The 16,089-nt window shown below is 35.3% G+C and overlaps 1 protein-coding gene across 7 annotated transcripts in view; it reads left to right on the forward strand.

Annotated features, from left to right (window-relative positions):
* The window catches only part of GRM7 (glutamate metabotropic receptor 7), an 880,419-nt gene that overhangs the window by 428,509 nt on the left and 435,821 nt on the right, over positions 1 to 16,089 (forward strand). For all 7 annotated transcript variants that reach the window (XR_001740135.3, NM_181874.3, NM_000844.4 and 4 more), the window contains exon 3: positions 9,061 to 9,202. Coding sequence is in view for 6 of the 7 variants with exons in the window: in NM_181874.3 (NP_870989.1) it covers positions 9,061 to 9,202 (142 nt within the window). In the remaining variant the exon portion in view is untranslated. The remainder of the gene's footprint in view (positions 1 to 9,060; positions 9,203 to 16,089) is intronic.

The following is a 16,089-nucleotide window of genomic DNA, read 5'->3' on the forward strand; positions in this document are numbered from 1 at the left end:
ATAGACTGGATTAAGAAAATGTGGCACATATACACCATGGAATACTATGCAGCCATCAAAAAGAATGAGTTCATGTCCTTTGTAGGGACATGGATGAAACTGGAAACCATCATTCTCAGCAAACTATCACAGGGACAAAAAAACAAACACCACATGTTCTCACTTATAGGTGGGAATTGAACAATGAGAACACATGGACACAGGAAGGGGAACATCACACACCATGGCCTGTTGTGGGGTGGGGGGAGGGGAGAGGGATAGCATTAGGAGAAATACCTAATGTAAATGATGAGTTAATGGGTGCAGCACACCAACATGGCACATGTATACATATGTACCAAACCTGCACGTTGTGCACATGTACCCTAGAACTTAAAGTATAATAAAAAATAAAATAAAAATAAAAATAAAAAAAGAAAAGTTATCTTATTAGTATTTTATGTTAATTTCTATATCCCCCTCACAGCAACTAAAAGAATGCCTGAAATATGAAAGTTGCTTAATAAATATTTTTTAAATGAATACATGAATCTAAAAATGGCAAAGAAAGTAACTCACAAAGTATCAACACAAAGTAAAGGAGTATGACATCAGAAATCAATCAAACTTAATGGCAGCCTCAGCTCTGATGCAGAGTTGCTCAATCATTTCCCCTTTCTGGAACAATTTCACCATCTGCAAAATGGAAGCGTTGTTCTAAGTATTCTTTTAGTTCCTAGATTTTAAGGTTAAGTCAGCTAGCATGCATATAGCTTTGTCCAAGATTGCTTTAAACCTCAACATGTCCCAAAGTATAATGCAAATGTTTCTCAGGCAAAATAGTGCCTGAGATAAAATGATAAAATTCCTGAATACATTTTATAGAGACTTGCTGTTCAACATTTCTTGGCTGAAAGATATGATGGATTCACACCTCATTAGCATGTGCAGATAGCACTTGCATTCTGCTCAGAATGAGAGGTGTGGTCCTCACTGGCAGGGGACAGAGAATTTTTTATCTAAGCATTCAGTTTCCTGTGGTTTGTCTTAGGAAGTCTTGTGTACTTCCACCCCAACCCCAGCAGCATAACCTCTGCTATTTATTACACTTTACTGCAACCATGCTTATCTCTCCATGTTCCCCAAAATGCTCTCTACATTCTGGCTGCTGAAAACTTCTGGGGGTGTTCATCTGTCCTTGCTTCCTACCTTCTTTCTTTCCTCTCTCTCCCTTGGCAATCTAGAAAGGGGTATGGATGTGTCAAAGATCACGCAGAGAGCTAGAGGCTAAGAAAGATCAAGAACCCTGTATCTTAACTCTCAGTACCTCTATCACCAAAATCTTTGTCCACCCCTCCCCACCCCCAGGTGCTGTTCCAGTTTCTTTGTGGCCATTTACACTGTTCCACTCTGTCTCCCTCTCTCACCTAACAATCTTGTCCACAAATCCATGCAGGTGCCAGCCACACCCTCTTCCCAGCATCCTCACTGCAGCAGTGATTCCTTGGGACTCTTTAGCTTTGTAATTTTCTTGACTTTTTTTTTTTTAATATTCAGGAATTTTCTCGTCCTTCTATACTGAGCTTGGAATGTTTTGAGGCAAAGATCATTTAGGACAATGTACAGTTGCAAATAAGAGAAAACTGACTGCCGCGAGCTGACACGAAAAGGTGTTTCATTTTCTCCCATATCAGAAAGTAGGTGGGTGCTAACAGTATTTATTCTGCTCAGTGATGCATGACATCAGGGACTCTGGTTCTCTCTCTTTTTCTGGTTTACCACTTTTAAGGAGTAGGTCATCCTTTTGCTGTGGCCTAGTGGTGCCAAGAGGACAGTAATAGTGCAGACATCACAGTACAGACAGGGTTAGAGGAAAAGTCATGCCAGCTCTCTCTCTCTCTCTCTCTCTCTCTCTCTCTCTCTCTCTCTCTCTCTCTCTCTCTCTCTCTCTCAATCCCTCCGTCTGTCTATTTTTACCAAGGGAGTAAAACTTTTCCCAGAACTGACTTCAGGGGATTTCTGCCTGTTTTGTGTGTCACGTGATTATTTGTACTTGAAAAGAGGCTGGGAGATTGGGAAACACACTTGACCCCTTTTGACTGTGATCAGTGGTGAGTGGTTGTATGGGACTGGATACCTCACCACCCTAAAACCAGAAATCTATCAGCAAAGATGGGAGAGGGAATGGAGGTGATATGGTTTGGCTGTGTTCCCACCCAAATCTCCTCTTGAATTGTAGCTCCCATAATTCCCACATGTTGTGGGAGGGGCCCAGTGGGAGATAACTGAATCATGGGGGCAGTTCCCCCATACTGTTCTCATGGTGGTGAATAAGTCTCAGGAGATCTGATGGTTTTTAAAGGGAAACCCATTTCGCTTGGTTCTCATTTTCACTCTTGTGTGCTGCCATGTAATATGTGCTTTCTGCCTTCTGCCATGATCGTGAGGCCTCCACAGCCATGTGGAACTGTGAGTTCATTAAAGCTCTTTTTCTTTATAAATTACCCAACCTTGGGTATGTTTTTGTCAGCAGCATGAAAACACACTAATACAGGAGGGTTGGACAGTCTTATTCACAATGACCTTGACCTTTTAAAGTTGACCCCTCTGTTGCCTCCATTAAGTATCCTTCCTTTCACAGACATTTAACATCTCATTTGAAATTGAATTTCTTTTATAAAACCTTTGATGATTCCTCTAACAAGACGTGTTGTATGTACCTTTATCTCCTTTTATAATATGTATCCTCTTCTCCTCTTAATCTGTGGAGTATGTGAGGACAGATAACTATCTTGTCATTTAGCTTAAAGTATTGAAAGATGAAAACCTCAGTACTACTCTGCCATTCAAGTTGTGATTTGGGGTGAGTTATTTAACTTCAGAATGCCTCTGTTTTTCTCCTGACTCATGAGGTGCTGTAATCATTGAATGTGTTAATAGATAAGCAGTACTTAGAATAGCATCAACATGTAGACAGAACTCATGAGACCCAGTCCTTCAACTATGATGAATATTATCTCTGTGAAACTCTTTGGATCTCAGTTTCTCCATGTGTAATGGAGAATTGGATGTGGGTATTCTAAGGCTTCTTCTACTGCTTACATATATTATTTCTTTTTTTTTTAAAAAAAAAAACAAACCATTGAGGCTGGACGCGGTGGCTCACGCCTGTAATCCCAGCACTTTTGGGAGGCTGAGGTGGGCAGATCACCTGAGGTCAGGAGTTCTAGACCAGCCTGGCCAACATAGTGAAACCCCCCATCTCTACTAAAAATACAAAAATTAGCCGGGCGTGGTGGTGTGTGCCTGTAATCCCAGTTGCTCGGGGGGCCAAGGCAGGAGAATTGCTTGAACCCAGGAGGCGGAGGTTGCAGTGAGATGAGATTGCACCATCGCACTGCAGCCTGGGGGACAAGAGCGAGACTTGGTCTCAAAAAAAAAAAAAAAAATTGAGCTTTTCTTATAATAGTCTCAATAAATATTTGCTAAATAAAATTGGCATATCTAAATAATAGAATCATCAATAGAGCTGCATTGTGTATCAGCTCTCTCGGGATTGAGTTTCAGGCTTTAAACTGTTTTCTGTTGTTTCTGCTTATTAGATTAAAAATAATTCATAATCATTTGGGAGATAAAAGTATTTTATTGGAAAGCATCTGTGGTGTGATTCCTGAGATTCTTCTTGTTGCTAAAGATTGCTAGCTACCATGCGCAGACAGAAAACTGACCAGTTTTCAGCTCTAAATCAAGAAGCAGATTGATTTCTGGGACTCTGAAATTCTTTTCGTTACTTCAGTGGCTTGTATGTATCTCTCTTGTATGTATCACTCTCTCAAGCCTTTGACAGCGGACATTCTCAGTGAAAGCTGAGGTGCTATGAATGGAGTTGTCCTATCTGTCATGGCTCTTCAGTTGCCACATTTACGATGAGACTTTCCAGTTCTCCCTACTTGTTCGCTCCCCACAGAAGTGTGAATTAATTTGGCAATTGCAATACCAACGGGCAGCATCAAACTCTGATTAGATTTTCCGTGTGTCAGAGGGAGAATGTAGTGTGCTGAATTATCACCATTACTGAGAAATAAACTAACTGATATTCAAATACCAGGTATGTGTGTGTCTGTGGGCCATGAAAAATTCCATTTTTTGCTGGTAGGTACATGGGACCATCATTATTGTCTCACAGTGACACACTTGGTATGGCTTGAATGTTTATGTTGAAGTCATCTACTTACAATATAAGTGAAATTTTAAACCTGCCACATTCTTTTATGGATCTGAGACAAATAAGGGATGGATTGTCTTTCCAGCAGGTACAATTCAAGCCTTCCAAGAACTGATGATCAAAACAGTATGTTTATTTCTCTTTCTCTGTTTTCCAGTTTTCTTTCATTTTTACATTTTAGCTTTATGAACAGGTTTATCCCCATTACCACGTTAATAGCCAATCTCTCTCTTCTGTTGAGGTGTTTAATTTTGCTCACCTGCGGGCAATTCCCCGTAAGAGGGGATGAGCGTCTCAATTCTGCAGTCATGAAACTCCACACATCCGTTCCCCTAGTGTACACCGGGTGAGCCCTCAATCCATGTTTGCAGACTGCCCCTCCACTAGACATGTTGCCAAATGGAGTTTGCTCCAATTTGCTTAATCACTCAGCTGTAATTGAATCCTGATGAGAAGCTGGGTTTCCATCCAAAATTATACCCCTTCTGTTGCTGAGAAGATGGTAAAGTAGCCATTTCTTCTCCCCAGGAGTCCCAGGACAGTTTGCAGATGGTTTCATCCCTCTATCCTCCATAATGCTTTCCAGACTTGGAGGAATCATGGCATTGAGACTGTCATCGCCATTGCCCAGGGATATGTCTGTTGCTGGCTCTCTGTACCATTGTGAGCTTTATAACAAAGCACAATAATTTACCCTTTCCTTCCTTTTCTCTATGCCACCTTCCTAAGAGCTCCCTAAAAAAAAAAAAGAAAAATGTTTGGCTAGAATATCATTGAACAAATTCTACTTCTACCTGAGTAGGCTACAACCAATATGGAGACACCCAGGTGAATATGCCTCAAAATCTGACCACCTGCAGCAGTTTCACCTAGAGCAGCGTGGGCCCTAAGCTAGCAGCATCAGCATCACCTGGGAACCTGTTCCAATTACAAATTCACAGGCTTTACACAAACTGACTAAGAATCTCTAGAAGTGAGGATCAGAAATGTGCTTCACAAGCTCTTCTGTAAGTGAATTCAGATCTTTTCTGTTTGAAAGTTTGTGTGTTTATTGCTGAGTTTAAGAGTTATTTATATATACTGGATACATTCTTTTATCAAACATATACTTTTAACCAAGTGTCTGGCTTGTGCTTTCGTTTTCTCAATGCTGTCTTTCACAGAACAAAAGGTTTGAATTTTCATAAAATCCAATTTATCACGTTTTTCTTTATAGATTGTACTTTGGATATTATATTCAAAAACTCATTGCCAAACCCAAGGTCATATTGATTTTCCCTTTGTTTTATTCTAAAAGTTTTCTAGCTTTATATTTTACACTTGGGTGTATTATCCATTTAGAGTTAATTTCTATATAAGGCAAGATTTATTATTTCTGCATAAGAAAATCCAATTATTTTGGCATCATTTGTTGAAAAGACTATTCTTTTTCCTTTGAGTTCCTTTGCATGTTAGCCAACAATCAGTTGACTGTATTTGTGTTGGTATACTTCTGAGCCTCTATTTTCTTCCCTTGATTCAACAGTCTATACTTTTTACCAGCATTACACTGCTTAATTCCTGTAGCTTGAAAGTAAGTCTTAAACTTAAGTGGTGTGAATATCTAATTTTCTTACTTTTCAGAATTGTTTTGACTATTTCCTTTACCTTTCCATATAAATGTTAAGTTAGATGTTGAGGTCTACAAAAATAAAATAAAATAAAATGTTTACTGAGAGTTTGCTCTAGATAGCATTGAATCTATAGATAGATTTGGGAAGAATTTACTTACACGTTTAAAAATGTATTTTAGCCATGTTTTATAGTTTTCAGCACACAGACCTTGTACATATTTTGTTGCCTAAGCAGGACTGGTTTTTCGGTGATACTATTAAATGGCGTTGTGTTTCAATGTAAAATTCAGTAGTTCCTTCCTATGATCGACTATTGTTTATTGAGTTCATATCCTGCAACCTTGTTTAAGGCACTTATTCTAGGAGATTTTTTGATAGCTTTTTTTTGGGGGGGGGATTTCTCTGTCATATGTAAATAGAACTGATTTTACTTTTTCCTTTGAAACATGTATATAGTTTGTTTCTTTTCCCCTCCTCATTTTGGCAAGGGTTTATAGTACAGTATTGAACAGGATAGGGCAACCTTGCCTTGTGGTCTCTTACTATTAAATGTGATGCTAGCTGTAGGCTTTTTATAGATGCCTATTATTAGGCTAAGGAAATTCTCTTCTAATTCTAGTTTACAGAGTTTAGTATTGTTATCATAAATATATATATATAGAGAGAGAGAATTTTGTTAAGTACTTTCTCTGCATGTATTAAGGTGCTCATGGTTTTTCTTTTTTAGTCTGACAATATGTAAATAATAATGATTGATTTTTCAAATAATAAATTAGCCTTTTGTTCTTTGAATAAAACCCACTCAATCCTAATGTATTATCTTTTTAAAAATTGTTGCTGGATTTGTTTTGTTAACATATTTTTAAGAATATTTGCAAATATGTTCCAAGTAATATTGTCTATATTTTATTTTTGTTTGGTAATATCTTTTCCTGGTTTAGGTATTAGGTAATACCTCATAAAATGAGTTATGTTCTCTCTTCTCCCATTTTCTGGAAGAGATTGTGTAGATCATGTTTTATGTATTCATTCACTGATAGAATTCATCAGTTAAACCATCTGAGCCTGAATCTTTATTTTCTGAAAGATTTTTAAACGACCAATTTGGCATTTTTAATTTACATAAGACTATTCAGATTACTATGCATTCAGTTTTGGTACTTTGTATCTTTCAAGAAATTCTTTCATATCATTTACATAGCTGAACTTATTAATGTAGAGTTATCACTAATATCCTCATATTATATTTTGATATCCATGAGATCATCAGGGTTACCCTTCTTTCATTCCTAAATAGGGTCATTTGTTAGTTCTCCCTTTTTGTCTCAGTCTACATTTCATATATATCAATTTTATTTATATTTTCAAAAACAGCTTTTTTAAAAAAAAAAAAAGCTGGGATCTTGCTATGTTGCCCCGACTGGTCTCCAACTCGTGGGCTTAAGTGACTCTCCCTCCTCAGTCTCTTGAGTAATGGATCTGTAGGTTTTCACAATCATGCTCTGCTAAACATGCAGCTTTTGATTTCATTGTTTTTCTCTATTATATTTGTTTTCAAACTCATTGATTTTTGCTTTACCTTTTATTATGTGCTTTCTGCTTTTTTTTGGTATTTACTCAGTAATTTTCTCTTAAAGTGAATGTTTACGTTGCTGATTTTAGATGTTTCTTCTTTTTGAATATAAACATATAATGCTATGTTTCCATCTAAACACTGCTTTATCTGTAACTTACAAATATTGATATATTGTACTTTCATTTATATTTAGCTCAAAATATTTTAAAATTTACCTTGACACTTCTCTTTGATGCATGGGTTATTTGGTAGTGTGTTGTTTAATTTCCAAGTGTTTGGAGATATTTTTATCTTTCTGTCATTGATTTCTACTTTGATTCTGTTATACTGAGAAAATACTTTATATTATTTCTATGCTTTAAAAATGTTATTTGTATGGCTCAAAATATGGTCTATCTTAATAAATATTGCATTTGTGCTTGAAAAGAATAAATGCATTTCTGTTGTGTGGGTTGTCAATTAGGTCAAGATGATTGATAGTTTTGTTGGGTGTTTATATTTTAAAGAAGGACCACAGGTGATTTCATGCATGCTGAAAGTTGAGAGCCACTTAGAGTGAGCTAACACTAATTGGGATTCCAGTGTAATGAAGGCTTAATTTTGTATTTGATTTTATATTTGTCTATGTTTGTGGAAGTCTAGAAGCTTCCACCCAGTTGTCCATGTTCTAGGTGTGAGCTTGTTGATTACAAATATCTCCTAAACACATTACACATTAGAGTAAGGTTTTTTACCTGTCTCTGCCCCTGGGTCTTGTGCCCCTTGGACGGCCATTAGGACTTTTCTACAAATATTTCCTCTACCCTTTTCATCGATGCTGGCTTTTAAGTGTGTTTCATAAAATGCTAGATCCAGGAGCAGCTGCTAAGCAAGAAGCAGGGAAGTAAGATGTATACGCATTGCTTAGTAAACTGATGCATGTTTCTCCATCTTGAAATTCATAATGCCAATTAATATTATACTGGCTCTGACAAGTTTGGAGTTAACATATCTCTATTCCTTCCTTTCCCTAACATAAAATGAGCAATACGAAATACTTTATAAGATTTTTGAGAAGACTAAATGAGGTAACATCTGTAAAACACTTAATGATGGCTTAGGCACATAGTATGTTGTCAATAAGTGTTTGTTGCTATGATTTAGTATAGTTGATGTTCTTGGTTTTAGTTTTATTCCACTTATTCCACTGGAATTGATCTTTAAAAATAGAGATGGGTATAAAGGGAAAAAATTCTGGGAATGCAAACGCCACAAAAGTAACAGAGATACACAGAGCTTTACCTGTTCAAGTTTCTTTATTGTGGTTTACTTTTTGTAGTGTTATTAAGGGGTATTGCATTCATTTTAAAAACCTTCTTCAACCCAGCCACTTTTTCTTCCTACCTAAACCTGCCTCCTCTGAAGTAATATCATTGGTATTGCTGGGAATAATTAGATATTTGTACGTGTACTATAAAGAGGATGTCGTGTAATACCATGGAAAGTGCATTAGGTATGAACAACATCTCAGGACTCAGCATGGTGTCTTATGCTGTCCTCGCTTAGCAACAGCATCAAGGAAGTATTGCATATCCGGGATTCAGAATCTCCTCCTCATCTACCTTCCTTGGCTCCTTTGACATCTCTGTGGAAACATTATTGACACTATGTTTTCTTCTCTTAAACAGGTGGACTCTGCATTGCCCAGTCCGTGAGAATCCCCCAGGAACGCAAAGACAGGACCATTGACTTTGATAGAATTATCAAACAGCTCCTGGACACCCCCAACTCCAGGGCCGTCGTGATTTTTGCCAACGATGAGGATATAAAGTAAGAATAACTGGTGACAATTGTTAATATGCATGTTGCAATTTTAGGAGAGAGAAAGATTAGGCTGCTGGCTGAGACAGGAAAAGATAGCATAAGATCAAAGCTGTAATCATACAGCGGCGAAGTCTGTGCTTGCCTCTACCCAACACATACAGTGGTAGCATGTTATGGTCACGTGTTTTCCCTCTGTTAGCAAAATAAATGTATTCAATTATTTGTAAAAACAGAAAAAAAACTCTAGATCTTTTAAAGGTGCTTTTATTTAAAAATTTTTCCAAATATATTAATAACAGATTTTTATCCAAAGAATGGTTCTCTTAATGTAAAAGAAAAATGTCTTAAAATTCTGGTTTTATTGCTAGTGCTTTAACTTCAATATGTTCAAATCAAAAACTTGTCTTAACTCTACATTCTCCAATCCACTTTCTTTTTTCTTTTCAGAACTTGATCTTTCTTGGACTCAAAAATCTGCTTGTAATCTTGACTTTGCTTTTTTCCTGGTTCCTTGTATTGTTGGCCAAGCCACATAGAAACAAGCTTTGACATGTTTCCACAATGTAAATGTCTGTTGCTTTCTTTTCTGATCACTACCAACCTGGTCCGGAGTCCTTATTTTTAGAATTTTTAGAATATTTATTTTTGTAATCTTTATTTTTAGAATAAACAGTAAATAAACCTGATTACAAAATTTAAAGTAAACATACAATCTCCATCTTGTCGCATAGCTAACAAGTTCTCTCCAGGTACAATAACTAATTAAAAGTTTCTTGTATATCCTTGTGGAGATATTCTGTATATATGCTAGAGGGATGTGCTGCTTGTTTTTACACAAATGGTAGCATGTTGTGTGCATTCCTGTTCAGCATTTTATTTATCATTTTATCATGGAGATCACTGAATATTAGTACCTATACTTCTACTCAGTATTCAATAGCCAGGCAGAATTTTATTTTACATAGGTACTGTAATTTATCTAACTGCTCCCTTATTAATTGACATGTAATTTGGATTACAGTCTATTGAAGTTATAAATAATGCTGTAATTAACTTCCTTTTGCACAAATCTGTGTGTATAAATATAAATAGACAAGTGTTAATCTACAATGTGTTATGCAATGTATAAATTTATAATGTGATAAAAACATAACATGCAAATATACTTTTTATATATATTATAAATATTTATAAAATAAATTCCTATTAAAAAATTTCTAAGACAAAAATATGTCCCTTCTTAAAAATATATAAATATTGTCTCCCAGAGAAGTCATGCCAATTTACACTTCCATTGATGTGAAAGAGCTGTTTATGTGTGTTTTAAATCTTTGTCTATCTTATAGTTCAAAATAATATATCATTGACTTTGAAGGTGAATCTTTTATTCAGGGTAAAGGTTTAATGGCCTGGGCCCTTAAGTTCCTGCTTGGATTTTTCAATGTCTTTACCACCAGCGTCTCAAACCTGTCTCTTTCCCTGCTTTGTGTATCCTAGACACTGCTCCTGAATCCATCCATCTCCTAGTATAAAGCTCTGACCACAGGTGTGGTGGCAGGGCTATTAAATGGAAAGAGTTTTGAATTTTTAAATGAGGATTACTTGCTTCTTAGATAATGAGCACTGTCTGACCTTGGGCAAGTTCCTCCCACTGCCTTCCAGGTTCTTTGGGCCTCAAGTCTCCTACCAATCAAATGAACATCCTTCGGAGTTCTTTTTCGGGAGATCTGGCTGTTTCACCTTTCTAGTCTTATTCTATTCCAAATTCCCTCATGATTTGCTACTGTAGGCACACTGCCGTGGTATGATCTCCCTCCCAATTCTGCATGCATTCTTTCCCCCTCCCTGGCCCATGTTTCCTTCCCTGCTTCATCACCTCAATGCTATCTCTAGTGCTGTCCTCTCAGGGAAGATTTCTCTGATCAATGTCACTTTGGAAAATTCTTCATACTCACTCAGTTTCATTGTTTATGTGAATGGTGCCATTTTTATTGTTGGATTGTTTAATTAATGTCTGTATTCTTCACTAGTTCGTAAAATTAGGGCAGAAATGATGCTTCTTTCGACTTGCTTTTGTACTGTCAATAACTATTATAGGGCTCAGGACATAGTAGCTCAATAAATGGCGTTGAACAAGTGAATGAAATTCCTAACCTAATGCTTCATATTTAATAATTTAACAATAAGCTTCTTTTTTTTCTGAACTTCCTGGTGATTCAATATATGGTCTCATTTTTACGGTTTAGGCCTCATCTACATTCATCCAGTTCTCCATCCAAAATGCATAACTCTTATCCTCCGATTTGTTCTGATTACTTCTCCATCATGGTCTTTGCTCACGATGTTTTTTTCTCTCGTTATCTATCTGTCTAACTTACGTCTCTTCTTCAAGGTCTGTTTCAAGCATTCCCTTCTCCAGTTCCGGAGAACTGATCCTGATTCTGATCATCCCTTAAATATATTATTTCTCTCCTTACAAAATTATCTTACAACATTATTTTCCTCACTTCGTATTTTAGGTTTCTATGAGATTTTGTTTTCATAATATTACTCTTTCTGTTCCAGTACTTTAAAAAATATCTGCTAATACCCTTCTTATTCATCTTATAAGTCCTTTTAACACCCATTTTACACTTTTGCTAAATATGTAATACCTTGGTAAAATATGGTCTCATGTTTGTTTTTAAATAGATTGCACAAGGCACATAAAAGATGTATGGCAATTAGTTCTGGTAACTAATTGGTTATAATACTGTTGACTTGCAAGTAATGTGAGTTTTTCATATTTGGATGTAAACTGTATTCAATAATGATATTCAATAATTATACCCATTCTTTTTGCATTGGACTTGTTTGTGTGTTAAACATTATTGTATATTGTCATTCATAATAGTGATGACAATAATTATTCTTGAGCACAGTACTAAAAGCCAACAGCATATAAAAATTTATTCTAAAACATGATCTTAAACAGTGTGTGAAGTGTACTGATAACCCATAATGTTACGTTATTTCTTTCTTCGGAAGATTTACATTGTAGATGGGAAAATTTGAGGTTTCTTGGAACGTTAACTTCAGATACTTTGTCAAAGGCTAGCAGTGAGAAGACATTAATATCTAGATTTTAAAGCTAAGATAAGTGCTAAATCAGTCATGGGTATAGATGATTTGGATTTTAGACAAGCGTGGATTCTTTTTCTAAAATAATTTATTCTGATTATAAAAGGAACACATGCTCATTGTAAATCCACTGGAAAATAAAAGTTTTTTTATTGTTTTTTTTCAATAAAAGGAACCCTTACATTTTACTTTGCCTCCAGTTTGCTAGAAAAATTAAAGGTTAAGGAGAATAATCACAAACAATAATTTTAAATAATCTTCTATAAAACCTGCAATTCCAGCACTCAGAGATAACTGCTAATACAATTCTGGTTTAATTTTTGCAATAAGTTTTTTTATACATACACAAATTTTCCTCAACAGAATAAAGATCACATAGAATTTTGTCATCTTTTACAATTCATATTATAGATTAATCATTTCATATCACAAGTACTTTTAAATGCTTTAATTATATTCTTATAACCTCCAAATTTTACATAAATATACTAAACTGAACATACTTTTGTGTTTGTATCAGTTTTTACTTTCTTTTCCTGTTTTACTTGGCTTATCCCTACCTTTCTCTTCAAACTTCGTCAGCACCTCCCCAAACATGTTAATAAAAATTGTATGTCGTTTTATATTTTTGGTGCCTTGATATGATTCTATGCTTTTAACTATGCATATATACACATATACAGGCAATTTTTGGTCAGCTTTTATTTTGTGAAAATTAAATAATCTTTTATCATGTATTTAATTTTAATTTTCTTTTTTAATGTGTAGTATCTAGTTTGATACCTTGTGGAAATCAAACTAAGTATATTTGTAATTGCTCTAGAATTCATCCTTTGGATGTATTGTCTTTTTTTTTAAACCAGTTTCCCATTGCTCTGTACTTAGGTTAACTCCAGTAATGAACAGACATTTTGATAGCATCTTTGATCATTTTTGGATACATTATCAAAGTGGTATCTCTAGGCCAGAAGTATTAACATTTGATTGTTCTATTTTTTTTTTTTTTTTTTTTTTTTGTTGAGACAGAGTCTCGCTCTGTTGCCCAGGCTGGAGTGCAGTGGCGCGATCTCAGCTCACTGAAAGCTCCACCTCCCGGGTTCATGCCATTCTCCTGCCTCAGCCTCCTGAGTAGCTGGGACTACAGGTGCCCGCCACCATGGCCAGCTAATTTTTTGTATTTTTAGTAGAGACGGGCTTTCACCATGTTAGCCAGGATGGTCTTGATCTCCTGACCTTGTGATCCACCTGCCTTGGCCTCCCCAAGTACTGGGATTACAGGCGTGAGCCACCGTGCCCAGCTGATTATTCTATTTTTATGAAAATAATAAATACATAAAAAAACTAAAATATGACTAAAGTACTTTTGATGCAAAACATTAGTCTCCTGTTCCATCTCACCATGCTTCCTGGTTCTGTTCTCTTTTGGCAGTTACTTTAACTCTTTAAACTGTTTCTTCTGGTTTTATCTGCATAATGTGTACGTGTTACAATTTTTAAATTATTAATTTTAAATATTATCTAATTCTTATGTTAAACAGAACTTATTCCTATCTCTATAGTCATAATCTATCAGGTTTTAATTTGACAAAAATCAGTATTTACATTATTGTGATTATATAAATATGATGCACTACAGCATCAAGTATTTTTTCTATGGTAGTTATTTTTTTGGAAAACATTTTGTTGTTTTTTGGAGTTAATATGACAGTCTTCATACTTTCATTGTTATCTTTAATATTTTTTCTGTTGTTGTTATAGGCCTTTCACTTTTCTCCATATGTTCATATATAAGATTATCTGAGTTGCCTTATTTTTCCCGAATATTTCTTCCTGAAATTTCCATTATTCTGTTTTAATCTGGATCAGTTATTATCATTTGAAGAGTTTCTTCCTCTCACTCTCTCTTTGTTTTACCACTTCCTTTTTTCTGGACCCTAACTGAATTTTATTCTTGAATTATTTCCTCATTTTGCTGGAGCATATCCTGTAGCTTCTTTTTTTTTTTAAGAGTAAATTAAGGGAAAACTTTTTCATGTGTTTTACATCTAAAAAATGTTCTCATTCTGCCTCTACCCTTAATTAGTAGTTAGGGTGGTAATGTGCGGCCTCATATTTATTTTTATTAATCAATGCATCATACGTGGTAAAGAAGTGATTTACAACAAATAGCTGTTGTGACTAATGAGTTGCAGAACTCTTAACTTATAGGGAACTTAGGGTTCTAATTGCGGAGGGAAAAATCTAATAGAGCTACTGAACAAATATGCAAGTTCTATTTGTATTGAGATTCTTTGTGTGTTAAATGTTAAAATTTTAAAGTCTTTTTGTCAGAATATTGAAGCCATTGCTCCATCATCCATCATCCATCCTTTTTTTTTTTTTTTGCCTCTTGAGAGGTTAATAATATCATTTCTTTTTTTTTTTTGCATGTCTTCTCATTTTCTCTTGAAGAGCTTTTAGAACATTCTCATTATTTACAGAGGTCTTATATTTCGTGATGTGCTTGATTTTCCTCCCATTATGCGGCTAAGTTTTTAAACTTGAAAATTTGTATTTTCAATTTTTTGATTCTTTATTTATTAAAAATAATATTTAAAGATTTACTCTATTTTCTCTGTACGTTCTTTTTTCTCTAAATGTTAGCTGGATATAGGTCTTCTTGGGTTGATTATTGGTAAGAGGAAGAAGAATCTTATTTCTTATTTTCCAACTTTTTGTTGTTTTGCTTTCTAGAGAATTTTCTGCACTTTATATCTATGCCAATTTAATTTTCATTTCATATTTTCAAAAAGAGCTGTTTCTTGTTATTTTTTCGTATCATGTTCTTGATTAAAGATATGATCATTCTCATTTAAATGTGTTTATTATTTTGTTTTTTTTCCCATATATTATCTCTGCTCCACCTCACACATTTCCTTTTCCTTGTTAATATTTCTATTTGGCAATGGAGATTTTCCTCAATAATGAGTGTCTTCTGGCAATTCACATATGAATAAGGCAGTAAAAAGCTCTGTGCCCACGGGCAGTGCATGACAACTGATGGGGTTCCCAGGGAATCAGATTGGCCATTCCATCAGAGGACTTCTTTATAACAATATCTAGAGTCTACTTTCTGATATGTATCAGATTTTTACAGAAAAATTATTTTCTACCTGGGGTGACAAACCCCTAGTTCCCAGCATTTTGTGAGCAGAAGTTTAAAATTCCTAGAGTGTCTTAACATTTCAATTTCTATTATACTGACTTTTAGTCATTCCCTCCCATCCCCATCTGCAGTTTTAACACCTCTTATCTACCTTTTACTATTTTGGTGTTTTTTTGTTACCATCTCTTATCCACCTTTTACTATTTTGGTGTTTACAATATCAGAACCTATTTCCTATGCTGCTGCTTTTTTTTTTTTCTTTTTTTTTTTTTTTAATTATACTTTAAGTTTTAGGATACATGTGCACATTGTGCAGGTTAGTTACATATGTATACATGTGCCATGCTGGTGCGCTGCACCCACTAACGTGTCATCTAGCATTAGGTATATCTCCCAATGCTATCCCTCCCCCCTCCCCCGACCCCACCACAGTCCCCAGAGTGTGATATTCCCCTTCCTGTGTCCATGTGATCTCATTGTTCAATTCCCACCTATGAGTGAGAATATGCAGTGTTTGGTTTTTTGTTCTTGCGATAGTTTACTGAGAATGATTTTTTTCTTTAGAAAACTGTCATTTCCTGCCTGGAAGAAAAAAAAGTAGAACTGGCCTTTGTCAGCTTATTCACAA

Source organism: Homo sapiens, chromosome 3, assembly GCF_000001405.40.
Source record: "Homo sapiens chromosome 3, GRCh38.p14 Primary Assembly".
Lineage (NCBI taxonomy): Eukaryota > Metazoa > Chordata > Mammalia > Primates > Hominidae > Homo > Homo sapiens.